The sequence below is a fragment of the Homo sapiens genome, chromosome 9 (genome assembly GCF_000001405.40).
Source record: "Homo sapiens chromosome 9, GRCh38.p14 Primary Assembly".
NCBI lineage: Eukaryota > Metazoa > Chordata > Mammalia > Primates > Hominidae > Homo > Homo sapiens.
In genome coordinates this window covers 95656239-95671130 of record NC_000009.12, presented here as the reverse complement: position 1 = coordinate 95671130, position 14892 = coordinate 95656239, and the positions used below count along the sequence as shown (strand labels likewise).

The following is a 14892-nucleotide window of genomic DNA, read 5'->3' as shown; positions in this document are numbered from 1 at the left end:
TATTAATGACTATCCACCTAAGGTCCCCAAAGTAATGGGGGAAGCACGAGAATCAGACCAAGCAACATGAACTCCATGTGCAAACTGAACTTTACATGTTTACAATGTTTCCATTTATTGAACTAAAAACAGTTGCAAACTCTAGAGATGGCCTCGAAACACCTGGAGGCCTCTTAACTGCAAGGGCAAACTATCTCAATAGCGCTTTGGGAAGGCCACAAGGCATTCCAAGACTCATTTGAAAAAGAAAGTCTTGAATATGGAGCTAAAGCCTAAGATGGGAATTGTTCAGGAAAGGGAATTCGAAAAATCAGGATGTAAAACTGGAAGGAGGAAGAAGGACAGGCACAAAAAAAGATTATCATCTAAAATGGAGATTACTTGGTGAAAAAACTCAATGTAGGAGAAAAAAAAACTGAAAAGTTAGACCCAGAAATGAAAATGACAGAAATCGACACCGAAGGCCAGAGGATTCTAGATCACTAGAAATAAGTATGAACTAGGAGTGGAATTTTTTTTTTCAGAAATGGACAGAAATTAGAATACATTTCTTGCATTCAATTTCATCCATTAGCCTTTAAAATGCTTTATCCAAATGAAATTTACAGCACTTGCTGATTTTTAATGGGGTTCTCTAAGCAGAGCGTGATCAAAGTTGGCTGTCTCCTGGTAGCTGGAAGCCAAATTCAGGTTGGAGAATGACACAAAAAGCGAAAAGCCTCCAGGCAGAAGAGGTGGTCCTTGCGCTCTCCCCGAGAGGAGGTCAGACATCTGGCGGCCACACCTGGCCCGCAGCGAGGCAGCCCAGAAGGCAGCGCCATGTGCAGATGGTTACAGACGCACCTCCCAAGGAGAAGGGCACCGGATCGAGCAGAGATGAGTGTCTGGACAGATTGCTTTAGGCTCGGAGAGAGCTCCGAAGGAACAGCGGCTGCGCCACAGTCACAAACATTTTTTAAAGGATGAGGGCACAGCCTTCCAATGGAAAGAGCTTCTTTATTCTAAGAAATCTCACTTGAAGACCTAAAATCTGACTAAACTGGTTGTCTTGTTTTAAACAAAACATGTATTCAATTCATTATCTCCCTCCCTTCCCTTATGACTTTTTCAAAACACAAATAAGAACAGTAAAAAGCATGTGAAGTGATTTTTAAAGCATTTTAGTAACTTTCAAAACCATAAGTTTGGGATCTTACTGTCACTATGGGGGATCTTTCCCATTCCCTCACTCTCCTCCAGCCTCCCCCGACCCCACGCACCGGTCTTGGGCCTCCCTTCCATTCCCAGCGGTAGCTGCAGGACTCCATCCTCCCGTTCTCCCCGAGAACCACAACCCACTGACCCTTCCCCCCATCCCTCTTTCCTCTTCAGCGCTCAGAGTCCAGGACGTGTCACGGTACCCACTCCCCTGACTGTCCCTCCCCTCTCACCCTCCTCAACTTGCCCCCCGCCCCCGCCTCCCCCTTGTAGGTGTCGGGGGCACCGTGGTGGCCACCCTTCATGATGGCGGTGCTCACTCTCCCAGCTGCCAGATCATTGCTGCTGAAGACTCACAGCTCACTTGTTCTTTTGGAAAAGCCTTTGGCAAAAGGGAGTTGTCCCCTCCAAAGTAACAACCCATCCCCAGAGGCAGCCTGAAACCAATGACAGGGATACAAAAGCAGGGCCTGTGGCTTCGATCCTGTGCAGCTCGGGAACAGCCCTCCGGGCTCCAGGATCCCAGCAGATCAGCCCTGCCCGTGGCTGCAGCTGTGTGGCATTTCAGCTTCTCCCTCTGTCTCATCCTGTTCTCCCACTCCTTTCTGAGTTTTCTTTCCAAAAGCACTCCCCGATAAACCTCCTGCTGGCAAATCTCCTCAGGGTCTCCTTCCAGGGAGCCCGGGTTATCCGGGGTCCCAGAAACAGAAGGCACAGGGGTCACCCAAGAGAGTTCACAGTCTACAAGGGCTTGAGCAAGGGTGTGCAGAAAAACGAGGCTTGGTGAAGTGGCAGGGAATAGGAACAGGGTTGACACAGAAGAAACATTATTCTGTATTCTTTAGTTCTTTAGCTGCTGATTCTAAATATAAATCGATCTAATAAAAAATGAACATTCATTTCAGCTCTACCAAAAAATCAATTAAATCTAAGTGATATTAACTAAGTAGCTACTATGTATAAAATAATCTGCTAAGCACAGCACACCACCAAAATAGCCAGGTAACAACAGAACAACTCCAACCTTCAGCAAATTATCTTGGCTACATGCCACTGGTTGATTTGAAAATGAAATATACTGATTCAACACATTCTTCTCGAATCTGGTAAACAAAGCCATAACAAAACATACATAATTGGCACACCATTTTTCGTACAAGATTAAATTTAATCACCAGGATAAAACTGTCTTGCAGGCATTTCTTTTAATCCACCAATCCATGTAAATACATCAAACACCTGTAAAAGAGAAAGCTCCTCTCCACTACCTCCCACCTCCCATCAAATCTGCCTTTTGTTATATTTTATACTATTTAACACTTTACTTCTTAATTCATAAAGAAACCTTCCGACTACATTTATGTTAAAATTTGGGGACTTGATTTTAGGATTGCATTTTTTAAAGAAGTTGTATTCTCGTAAAAGCTCTAGTATTTATTAACAGCCACTTGAGTGACTTGGCAACACCCAATATATCAATTTCATTAATGATATCATTGCAGTGTTCAGTGGGGAATGTCCATTTTCATACATTTGTTTTCTCAATGCCATTATTTCAGATTTCACTGCCGGAGGATGCTCAATATCTGTTCATTACTCAATTAAATAGAATTTGCTAAGTGTGTTTCATGTCCGAGTCTGTGGAGCACTGGGAAGGTCAAAGAAGTGGAAACTATGGTGGGGAAATAATACAGACCCTTAAATACTGAGAGACAAGGACAAACCCTAGTCTTCAAACTATGCCGAGACCCGTCCAATTCCCCTTGCCTCTGAGAGGTAATTCATTAAAAACCATAGACAGAAGTAAATAATTTTTTCTTGTCTTTGCCACCTGATTTCAGGAGAGAGTATTTTAAATCCGTGCCCTGCAGGGAACATTTTAGAAGAGGCCTGCCAATCTCTGATAATTGCAAAGTAAACAGATTTTTCCAACAGAGATAAAGCCTGAGTTGGCATTATTTGTTCCTTGTCTTAGTATGCACATTTGTATCAGTTTCCAGGCTAAATTTAAAGAGGGAAGATAATTTTGAAGTAAAATTTAAAGATAAAAACTGGTGAGGCAGTTCACTAAAAATGCACATTTCATGCTGGGTCAGAAAACAAATCTCAGTAAATTTCAGTAGCTTGAAATCTGACCACAATGGAATTGAATTAGAAATCAGTAACAATAAGATGTTTTAAGAAAGGATACTTAGAAAATAGCTAAGTATTTGGAAATTAAGTACACATTTCCAAATAACACATACCGTTTTTTAAAAAAGGAGAAGTCTTTAAGGAACTAGAAAATATTTCAAACTGACTGATAATAAATACCCAGTATGTCCAAGTTTGTAGGATGCACCCTACACAATCCTTAGAGAAAAATTTATTCTTTTAAATGTCTGTATTAAAAAAGAAAAAAGTCTTAAATCACTGTTCTAAGTTTCCACCTTACAAAGCCAGAATAAGAGCAAATTAAACCCACAGTAGGGGAAGGCAAATAATAGAAATATAGATAAAGACAGAAACTAAGAAATAGAAAACAAACATACAGAAAATCAACAAAGCCAGATGTTGGCTCTTTGAAAAGCTTACTTAAAAAAAAAAGTCAGCACATATGTACAGATATAGCACATTCCACTTATATACTTTGTTAGGAAAATAAATAAATATATTGCTTCAGGAAGATTAGAAGCCATTAATACTTCTTTCTTTTAAAAGCAGGAGAAGATCATGTTTATGCATGCCACAGACGCAGTTTGGCTTCATATGTCTAGTCAAATGGAATAGCCACAGAAAATGCCCAAAACCATCATTTAAATTGAAACACACACACACACACATGATATAAGGGAATTTTCTGAAAATATTGCTACTTTTGTTAGAAAAATAAGGTCCAAAGTTGCTTTTAAAAAGAGAGGATTGTTATTGCGTCTCCGAGTTCCTCCATCGTGCCTCTGCAATGGGGCTGTTTGCATTCTCTTGAAGCCACACTTCCCTCTCCCTCCTATTATGGACCTCACACTGCGTTGTTTTTTAGTGCAAAAGCTCTGCATAACTAAAAAAGTTTCCTAGCCTCTGTTAATGGCATACTTGTTATGAGTACTGGAGTCAATATATGTATATTTTTAATCAAGAATGCTGAAGCCCCTTAGACTTCAGCCTGATGGGACAGTGTTCATATTCATTCCGGGATCCTGGTACACACAGGGGCTTTCCAAAAATTCAGCTAATTGCAGGCTAGTGGCAATTGCTCAGCTTCATGGGAGGTCATTGTCACAGTAACTGGCTGGGTGCCCCGGGCAGGCAGATTCTCCTGGATTGTGGGAGAAAGACAGAGAGGGGGAGGGACAAGTGTTATGGGGAAGCTTAGCCACCGTGTTGAGAGCCAGGAAAGAACAGGTCTCTCAGGAGACCTGGGTCTCCCTGCACTCCTTTCATCCCAGCCCAAAGGCAGGGTACAGATGATCCAGGGCAGAAGGCAGCAGGGAGATGAGACCCCTTGAGTTGCCTGGAGCAACTCAAGGACAAGCCTCAAAGCAAAAGAAAGCCGGAGCTGGCCTTCTGATGGACTCCGTATGGGCCAGAGCATCCAGGTCCTGTCTGGTAACTCCACATACAGGACCAAACAGTGCCCCGTCGGGCGGTTCTGTCGCATTGCCAGAGTGCATGAGTTAGGAGAAACAGCAAGTTTATCGACAACTATCCGCAATAAATTCCCTTTTACATTTATTTACTCTATCAACAAATATTTATTGAAGGTCTACATGTACCAGTTCCTGCCCTAGGCATGGAGACAATTAGGACAAGCTTTCATGAAGTTTACACTTTCGCGGTGGACAACAAAAACAGACAACAGGTTAAAGGGATCATTTCAGAACCTAATTTTGTCTAAAGGACATAAAACAGGGAGGTGTGATGGGGTGTGACTTTTGCAGTTAGATGGAATAGGGCTATTTTGGATAAGGGGATCAAAGCGGGTCACTGAGACAGGGCTGGCTTCACAGGCATGTGGCTCGCATGGTCGCATAAGGTCCCACATTCAAAAGAAGCCTCGCAGCTGGGCGCGGTGGCTCACGCCTGTAATCCCAGCACTTTGGGAGGCCGAGGCGGGCGGATCATGAGGTTAGGAGTTTGAGACCAGCCTGGCCAACATGGTGAAATCCTGCCTCTACTAAAAATACAAAAAAAAAAAAAAAAATTAGCCAGAGGTGGTGGTGCATGCCTGTAACCCCAGCTACTCAGGAGCCTGAGGCAGGAGAATCGCTTGAACCCAGGAGGCGGAGGTTGCAGTGAGCCGAGATCATGCCATTGCACTCCAGCCTGGACAACAGAGACTCCGTCTCAAAAAAAGAAAAAAAAAAGAAGCCTCGCATGTGGAGACTGAAACTCTTCAGCAGTCATGTTGAAATTCTTAATAACTTTATCTTTGATTTTGTGTTTTGTAAGTGGCCTCTGATGGGACAATGGCACATGCTCCAGGAGTACCCCATGACAGGTTCTCAGCCACCTCCTGCCTCACCTGCCCAGCAACTGTAACTGTCCTCTGCACCCTGAAGGGGCACCAGTGCCAGGTGGGACAGGTTCAGTGTATTTCCCAAGAGCCTGGGAAGGTCTGTATTTGCCCCAGAAGTATCTTGTGCCCCAGGAAGCATGGCAATGAATAGCTAATTTAAAACACCATGATAGTGTGGCCGGGGCTGGTTCCTGCGGGTGGGTTCGTGGTCTTGTGTTCTCGTTGACTTCAAGAATGGAGCCGGGGATCTTCGCAGTGAGTGTTACAGCTGTTAAAGATGGCACGGACCCGGAGAGCGAGCAGTAGCCAGGTTCATGGTGAAGAGCAAAAGGACAAAGCTTCCACAGCCTGGAAGGTGACCCCAGCAGGTTGCCACTGCTGGCTGGGTGTAGCCAGCTTTTATTCCCTTATTTGTCCCCTTCCATGTTCTGTTTCTGTCCTATCAGAATGCCCTTTTTTCAATCCTCCCTGTGATTGGCTACTCTTAGAGTCCTGCTGATTGGTGTGTTTTACAGAGTTCTGATTGGTGCATTTTACAGAGCACTGATTGGTGTTTTACAGAGTGCTCATTTGTGCATTTTATAATCCTCTTGCTAGCTACAGAGCACTGATTGGTGCGTTTTTATGGATTGCTGATTAGTGCATTTTACAATCCCCTTGCTAGCTACAGAGCGCTGATTCGTGGGTTTTACAATCCTAGCTACAGAGTGCTGATTGGTGCATTTTACAATCCTCTTGTAAGACAGAAAAGTTCTCCAAGTCTCCACTTGACCCAGGAAGTCCAGCTGGCTTCACCTTTCAATAGGCCAGGTGCAGTGGCCCACACTTGTAATCTCAGCACTTTGGGAGACTGAGGTGGGAGAATCACTTGGGCTCAGGAGTTCAAGACCAGCCTGGGCAACACAGCAAGACCTCGTCTCTACGAAAAAATTAAAAATTAGCTGGGCATAGTGGTACAAACCTGTGGTCCCAGCTACTCAGGAGGCTGAGATTAGGAGGATCTCTTGAGCCTGAGAGGTCAAAGTTTCAGTGGGCCGTGATCACGCCACTGCACTCCAGCCTAGGCAACAGAGCAAAACCCGTCTCAATCAATTAATCAAAAAAACACTATGACAGACAAGAGAGACTGCAGAAGAAAGAAACAAGCTAATTCCCTGCTTTTTACACAAGGGACTCCCATTTTCATTTTGCACTGTGCCCTAAAAATTACGTTGCAGGTTCTACTCTGAGAAAGTGTCATTTGGACTAGAGGCAAGAGCATTTCAGGAAGAGAGAACTCCAAGTGCAAAGGCCCGGGGCTGGAACAAGCTTGGTGTATTCCACCGTGAAACAGAAAGACAGTGGCCAGAGCCCCGTGAGCAGGTCCCAGCCTGGAACCAGGTGCAGGAAGGAGAAGGCAGACCCGAGGGGCTGAGAAAGGAGGAGCCCTGGGAAGTCCAGGCTGGGCAGTAAGCACATTGGAGTCCAGGTGTTGGTGCTGAGGAGGAAAGCAGAGACGCAGGCCCTAGAGGGAAGGGGACATGCGGGGAGGAGAGGGAGGAACATCATTGCTGAAGACTCAGCCCACTTCACTTCCTGACTTTGCCTGTTAAGTCCTGGAGGACTCTCACACATCTGAGATCTACCGCCTTCTGGCTCAGCTCCGGAATCTAGGAATTTTTATTTCTATTCCCAAGCCTGCCATGAGCTATGGGTGCCTCTGGTCTTCACCTTCATTACTGTGTAATGGGCACTAAGTGGTGTATCCCGTGCCTCTGTGCTAGGACCTGTGTTCCCTGTGCAGCTCCCCCAGATCTTCATGCCACACTCGCAGGCCTTCTTGCCTGTTTCAGATAGGCCACTCTCCACCTCATCCTGGGCCAGCTTCTGCCCGGTGACTCTCACCGCTGCCGTACCCAGCCAACTCTGCTCCCCTCTCAAGACTGTGCCTAAATGTCCCTTCCTCAGAGCCCATGCCAAACCCTCAGCCAAGCTTAGGTCTTCAGTCTTGGTCCCTTTCTTTTATAGCAAAGGTACAATTCTGTGTGTGTTTGTTTCATCAATGTCTGCCTCTCCAAATGTACTGAGACATCCTTGAGGGCACGGGGTAAGTCTGTTTTGCCTGCAATGGTGTCCTGAGCACCGGCTCAGAGCCTGGCACAATGCAGACTCTCAGTCAGGAAGGGCTAAGGGAGTGCGGGAGAGAGATGACCAATCCCTGCCAGGGAAGCTGGTGACCTCCATGTTGGGCCTTTGGAAATGCAAGGAATGGTCTGAGGAAAGAAGAGGCCCTGCCTAAGTATAGATTTTCTTTTTTTTTTAAGTCAGAGTCTTGCTCTGCCACTCAGGCTGGAGTGCACAATTATGGCTCACTATATTCTTGATCTCCTGGGCTCAAGCAATCCTCCCACCTAAGCCTTCCAAATAGCTGGGACCACAGGCATGTGCCACCACAAGCAGTTAATTTTTTGTTGTTTGTAGAGATGGGGTTTTGCCATGTTAACCAGGTTGGTCTCAAACGCCTGGCCTCAAGTGATCCGCCCACCTCAGCCTCCCAAAATGCTGGGATTACAGGCATAAGCCTGTAAGTTCCTGACTTAACTATACAATTGAGCCAAGTGTGAAGGCAGAGAGGAGGAAAGAAATGAACAAGAGATGGCCTTCCCTGTGTCAGGAAGATCGTGAGTGTGAGAGGGGCCTGCCCGCCCAGGACAGCCGCTTGCCTCTCTCCTTTGCCTGCATCTCCACCATCAGCCCTTGCAGATCCCCTCACCAGGCTTTCTGCTATTGTCCCATTTGACCCATCAAAAGTAGTATACCATGGCTGGGTGCAGTGGCTCAGCCCTGTCATCCCAGCAATTTGAGAGGCTGAGATGGGCTGATCACTTGAGCTCAGGAGTTCAAAACCAGTCTGGGCAATATGGCAAAACCCTGTCTCTACAAAAAAATACAAAAATTAACTGGGCTTGGTGGCTCACACCTGTGGTCCCAATGCTAGGGAGATGGAGCAATTGACCCCAGGAGGTTGAGGCTGCAGTCAGCCAAGACTGCACCACTGCACTCCAGCCTGAGTGACAGAGCCAGACACTGTCAAAAAAAAAAGTATATCAAGGTTCTCCTTGGGAACACTGGGGTAGAATCCAATACCGTGGGCTGGGTTGAGACACACTTTTAGGAAAGTAGCCATTAAGTATCTTATCGCTCTGATAAGAGCAGAAATGAAGAAGAAAATAACCCTGTGTGGCAGGCAGCCTCTAGAATGGACTCAGAACCCCCACCTCTGAGTATCCACACTCTTTCATGGTTTCCCCCACTGAATGTGAGCTGAACTTATTGACTTGCTTCTAAAAAGTAGAATATGACAAAAGTGATGAGGTTGAAGTGACAAGTCTAATATTAGGCTATAAAATATTGCGGTTCCTGCCCTAGGCATCCTCTTCTGCTCACCTTGAGGAGGCAGATGCCCAGTCCTGAGGCAGTAGCTCTATGGAGAGGCCCACATGGCAAGGGGCTGAGGCCCGCCAGCAACCACATGAGTGACTCAGAAGCAGACAGAGCCCCCTGAAGTCGAACCTTCAGATGAGACTGCAGCCCCAGCTGATAGCTTAGCTGACAGCAATCTCATGAAGACTTTGAAGCAGAGGCAACTAGTTAAGTGAAACCCAGGTTCTTCACCCACAGAAACTATGAGACAAGTAATGTTTGTTGTGTTAAATCACTGAAAAAATTTGTTACCCAAAACTAGATAACATGCATTGTGGTGGGCAGTTTCTCAACTCCACACCTGTGCTGAGACTTGGTCCTTGAGCAGCAGCAATATGCTGGACATGTGGGCACATGGCACAGTGTTTGCTGGGACCCCTGCTCAGTGCAGCTCAGTAAATGACAAAGGCAGACAAAAATAATTTCTGGCTGAGAAGATTTTATAGCACTGGTTTTGTTAAGCAACATTTAGAAATCTGTAACAATTACGAATATCCCCTTCCTTAAAAAAAGCAACTTATGTAAGAGAAAGGAATTTGGCAGTTTTGACTCCTTTTTAAAGAATCTATTGAAGCATGTGTCTACAATATGTAATGCAGAGTTGACTTGACCAGTTCTTTCTTATCCCATATTTACAAATTGTGAATAATCCATTATATACATGGCCTTTGAAGATTCTTTCTTTCTCTCTTTCCCTCTTTCTTCCATCCTTCCTTCCTTTTGTCCTCCCTCCCTTCCCTCTATCATTTCTTCCTTTATTCCTTAATATTACAGGCAAAACATTAGTAGCCTTTTGTTCATTGAATAAAATGTCCTTCAATTTTGGCAATCCTCAACTTACCTTTTAAACTTGGACATCACTCCTAAAGCATATGTATAAAGAATGTTTTATAAAAGTAAGAAAACTTATCCCAAATCATATTAACTTAGTACTAACTGAGCAGTGCAGCATGTTCATTAATTTCCTTGGAACAGTGCTTCTCAAGCTTGATGTCTACAAATCACTTGGGAACCTAGTTAAAATGGAGGTTCTGATTCCACAGGACTGGGAAGGCTGCAACTTTGCATTTCTAACAAGCTTGCACCCTTCGAGAAGCAAGGCCTTAGATGCAGTCGTTTCTTATTCCTGGGCCTGAGTATCTGCAACTATGAAGTGAAGGGGTTGGACTCATTGATCTCTTAACTTCTGTAGTCTTGTGATCTTCCCCCTTTTTCTACCCCCACCCCCCACATTCCTTGTTGCAGTACATGGCACTACCTCCATCCCCATTTTCCTCTAAAAATATGCAAATGGTCCTCCCCCAGCCTCTCCCCGATACTTGATCCACATGCAGGTGCCGTCAATTTTGCCTCCAATATCACTTATCTCTATCCATCTCTCTTCCCCTTGACTTCCAGGCTCCACTCTATGTTGAGCCCTGATAACCTGCTTGCTGTTCTCCCAGGCTAATAACACCAACCTCCAGGGCCTTTTGACAAGGCAAATCCAACCATCTCGTTTCTCTACTTAAACCCTTTGGTAATTCCTTAAGGCGGCTTGTAATGCAGTTCTCTTTGAATTTCTTAAAAACCACAAGGTTTTTCCATCCTTAAAAGCTTTTGCATGGGCAATCTGCTTAGCCTCAGAATGCTATTCCCCAGCCTTGTCACCCTTAGGATGTGGCTAGCCTTGGAGAAGTCTTGCCTGAGCCTCAGAATGGTTTGGGTATCTTTGGTGCGCAGGCTTTCAGCAGGTTGTGTTTTTCCTTCCTAGCACTGATGATGATTAATTACATTTTGTTTAAGTGTCTGCTTTATGCGTGGGCTGACATCCATATTGGTTCTTGATCACCAACCTATCCTCACTGTCCAGTGCAGGACTAGCACATTTGGGCACATGATCAAGACTTTTCTAATGAATAAATGCTTTTCCACCCACATTCAGAATTCCTAAAAGATTTCTCTACATTGTATCTATAAGCTTTTAATAGAAACTATGGTCTTATTTAAAAATTTAACATGGGCCTCTCATAAGTGGCCGACATTCCCATGTTGTCTTATAATTCTTGTAGCAATTTCCTTGCTAGGAAGGCTGAGACTGGCTAAGTGTGATAATAATTAGTGGATGGAGGCAAGGGGCCTGTGGCTCCTTATTGAAGTTCCAAGTAATTGATGTTGGAATTTTAAATATTGACACAAACAACACATAGAGAACACGTGGCTTCCAGGCCCCCTCCTTCAGAACTTTAATTTGCTTCTGCATTTTTTAAAACAATGAATTTAAAAAGTAAAGTATTGTCTATCAAAAACCCAGACCAGTCCCAAGAACAGAAAAAATGTATGGCCAAGGAGCATGTGTCTACCTAGGAGGTGTGAATGGAGGACTGGGAGCCCTGCAACCACAGTGCCTTCTCAGTCACTTGAACTCTACCAGAAGAAATGTGTTTTTTGGTTTTTTTTTTTTTCTTTTTTTGTTTGTTTGTTTTTTTGGGACAGTCTTGCTCTGTCGCCCAGGCTGGAGGGCAATGGTACGATCTCAGCTCACTGCAACCTCCGACTCCCAGGTTCAAACGATTCTCCTGTCTCAATCTCCAGGGTAGCTGGGACTACAGGTGCCCGCCACCACACCCAGCTAATTTTTATATTTTTAGTAGAGACGGGGTTTCACCATATTGGACAGGCTGGTCTCAAACTCCTGACCTCATGATCCGCCTACCTTGGCCTCACAAAATGCTGGGATTACAGGCATGAGCCACTGCGCCCTGCCAGAAATGTGTTTCTTTAGACCTGAGAGAGTGCTGTAAAAACACAAAGGCCTTTTAGACAGCTGAGCCATCTAAGATGAGAGAAACACACTATGTTCTCAAATCAGAGTATATGTGTACTCACAGACAAAATAGGAACATCTTCCGAAGCCATTTGTTTTTTTCCTACAATAAGAATCTTTAACATATTTTAAACCAAGGAGAGAAATATTTATTTTTTTAGAATAGTGTCAAAATTTGCATGAGTCTTCAGATGAGAGATTGAAGTAAATGTAATGATTGTGGAAGGTATTCCCTAGGGATACTAATTCAGTCCTATGGTATCAAGGATCTCTCTTGCAACATTTAAAAAGCACAGGCAAAGTGTATTCTCTAACCAAGCAGTCAGGCTACAGAGCTGTTGGATGATAGTACGTGTTTGTAGGATGATGTGTGGCAGGGACTGCTGTTCTGTACTTTCCATCTTTCTGAGAATAGAATCCTTCATTTAAATCTTGGACCATCACTAACCATGACAAAAAAAAAATCGGTATTTCCCAGCCTCCCCTAAAGCTAAGTGTAACCCTGTGACTAAATTCTGGTCAAGGTGATGCAAGCTGAAATGTGATGAGACAATTTCTGAAAACTTCCTTACAAGACAACTGATAGTCACGTGGTCATATCAATAGATACAGAAAAAGCATTTGGCAAAATCCAACTCCTATTCATAATTAAAAAATAAAGAACTCTCAGTAAACTAGGAATAGAGGGGAACTTCCTCAACTTGATAAAGAATTCTACAAAAAGTTTATAATGAACATCATACCTAATGGTGATAAATTGAAAGCTTTCCCACTGAGATCAAGAACAAGACAAGAATGTCCCTTTCACCACTGCTTTTCAGCATTGTACTGGGAGTCCTAGCTAATGCAATAAGACGAGAAAAAGAAAAAAACCAACAGATTTTGAACCATAAATAAAATTGTCTTTGTTTGCATATGACATGATTATTTTTGTTAAAAAAAAAAAATAAAAGAATTGACAAGAAAAAAACCTCCCGCAATTAACAAGCAATTACAGCAAAGTTGCAGGGTGCAAGGTTAATACACAAAAGTCATCACTTTTATATATCACCAATGAACAAATGGAATTTGAAATTAAAAACACACATACATTAATACCCCCAAAGTGAAATATTTAGGTATGACTCTAACACATATGTGCAAAATCTATATGAGGAAAACTACAAAACCCTAATAAAAGAGATCAAAATATAACTAAATAAATAGGGAAAAATTCCATATTCATGGATAAGAAGACTCAAGATTGTCAAGATGTCAGTTCTCCTCAACTTGATCTTTGGATTCAATGCAATCCTAATCAAAACTCTCAGCAAGTTATTTTGTGGCTATCATCAAACTGATTCTAAAGTTTATAAGGAGAGGAAAAACATCCAGAATAGCCAACATGTTATTGAAGGAGAAGAATAGTTGGAAGACTGACACCACCTGACTTCAAGACTTACTATATATAAAGTTACAGGAATCAAAACTGCGTTACTGGTGAAAGAATAGGCAAATAGATCAATGAAACAGAATAGAGAGCCCCAAAATAGACTTACATAAATATAGCCAAAGGATATTTGACAAAGGAGCAAGGGTAATGCAATAAAGAAAAGGTAGTTTTTTAACAAATGGTGCTGGAACAACTGTAAATCCACAGGCAAAATTTTAAAAATGAATCTAGACACAGACCTTACACCCTCCACAAAAATGAACTCTAAGTGGATCACAAACCCAAATATAAAACACAAAACTATAAAAATCCCAGAAGATAACATAGAAAATCTAAATAGCCTTGGGTTGGGCAATGACTTTTTAGATTCTAACAACAAAGGCACAATCCATGAAAGAAATAATTGATAAGCTGGAATTCATTAAAGTGGAAATTTTCTGCTCTGAAAAAAAAAAACCATTGTGAAGAGAATGAAAAGACAAACCACAGACTGGGGGAAAATATTTGCAAAGGATATATCTGATAAAGGACTGTTATCTAAAATATACGAAGAACTCTTAAAACTCAACAATAAGAAAACACAGCCTGGGCAACATGGTAAAACCCCATGTCTACAAAAAATATGAAAAAATTAGCCAGACATGGTGGTGTCCACCTGTGGTCCCAGCTACTTGGGAGGCTGAGGTGGGAGGATCACTTAAGCCCAGGTGGTCAAGGCTGCAGTGAGCCAAAGTTATGCCACCACACCCCAGCCTTGGTGACAGAACAAGAGAACAAGACCGAAGACCGTGTCTCACAAAAAAAAAAAAAAAAAAAAAAAAAAAAAAAAAAAAAAAAAAGAAGAAGAAAGACAACAACTTAGTTAAAAATGGGCCCAAAGACTTAATAGATAACAAAGAAAATATGCAGATTGCAAATTAGCATACAAAAAGATACATACATAACATGTCATCAGGGAAATGCAAATTAAAACAACTATGAGGAACCATTACACACCTAATTAGAATGGCCAAAATCCAAAATATTGACCACACTAAAGGTTGGCAAAAGTGTGAAGCAACGGGAACTCTCATTCATTACTGGTGGGAATGCAAAATGGTGCAGCCACTTTGGAGTTCAACTTAGCAGTTTATTACAAAACTAGACATACTCTTAGCATACAATCCAGCTATCATACTCCTTGATGTCCACACAAACACCTGCACACAGATGTTTCTAGCAGCTTTATTCGTAATTGCCAAAGCTTGGAAGCAACCAAGGTGTCCTTCAGTAGGGGAATGAATTAATAAAAAAACAAGGTGATATCTCCAAACAATGAACTATTACTCAGAGCTAAAACAGAAATTAGCTATTAAACCATGAAAACTCATGTTGGAAACACAAATGTATTATGAAGTGAAAGAAACCAATCTGAAATGCCAACACACTGTGCAAGTTCAACTCTATGACATTCTGGGAAACGCAAAACTATGGAGACGGTAAAAAGATCTGTGGTTGCCA

The 14892-nt window shown here is 42.9% G+C and overlaps 3 annotated features.

The window, feature by feature from the left end:
- Positions 321–1236: an enhancer, noted in NCBI's record as "H3K4me1 hESC enhancer chr9:98432177-98433092 (GRCh37/hg19 assembly coordinates)". NCBI's record gives its function as "activates a minimal SCP1, AML or CMV promoter by ChIP-STARR-seq in primed H9 embryonic stem cells {active_cell/tissue: H9 hESC(primed)}" and the evidence as "EXISTENCE:reporter gene assay evidence [ECO:0000049][PMID:30033119]".
- Positions 1237–2153: an enhancer, noted in NCBI's record as "H3K4me1 hESC enhancer chr9:98431260-98432176 (GRCh37/hg19 assembly coordinates)". NCBI's record gives its function as "activates a minimal SCP1, AML or CMV promoter by ChIP-STARR-seq in primed H9 embryonic stem cells {active_cell/tissue: H9 hESC(primed)}" and the evidence as "EXISTENCE:reporter gene assay evidence [ECO:0000049][PMID:30033119]".
- Positions 4310–4604: a silencer, noted in NCBI's record as "tiled region #8876; K562 Repressive non-DNase unmatched - State 21:Repr". NCBI's record gives its function as "represses a minimal TATA promoter and a strong SV40 promoter by Sharpr-MPRA in K562 cells {active_cell/tissue: K562}" and the evidence as "EXISTENCE:reporter gene assay evidence [ECO:0000049][PMID:27701403]".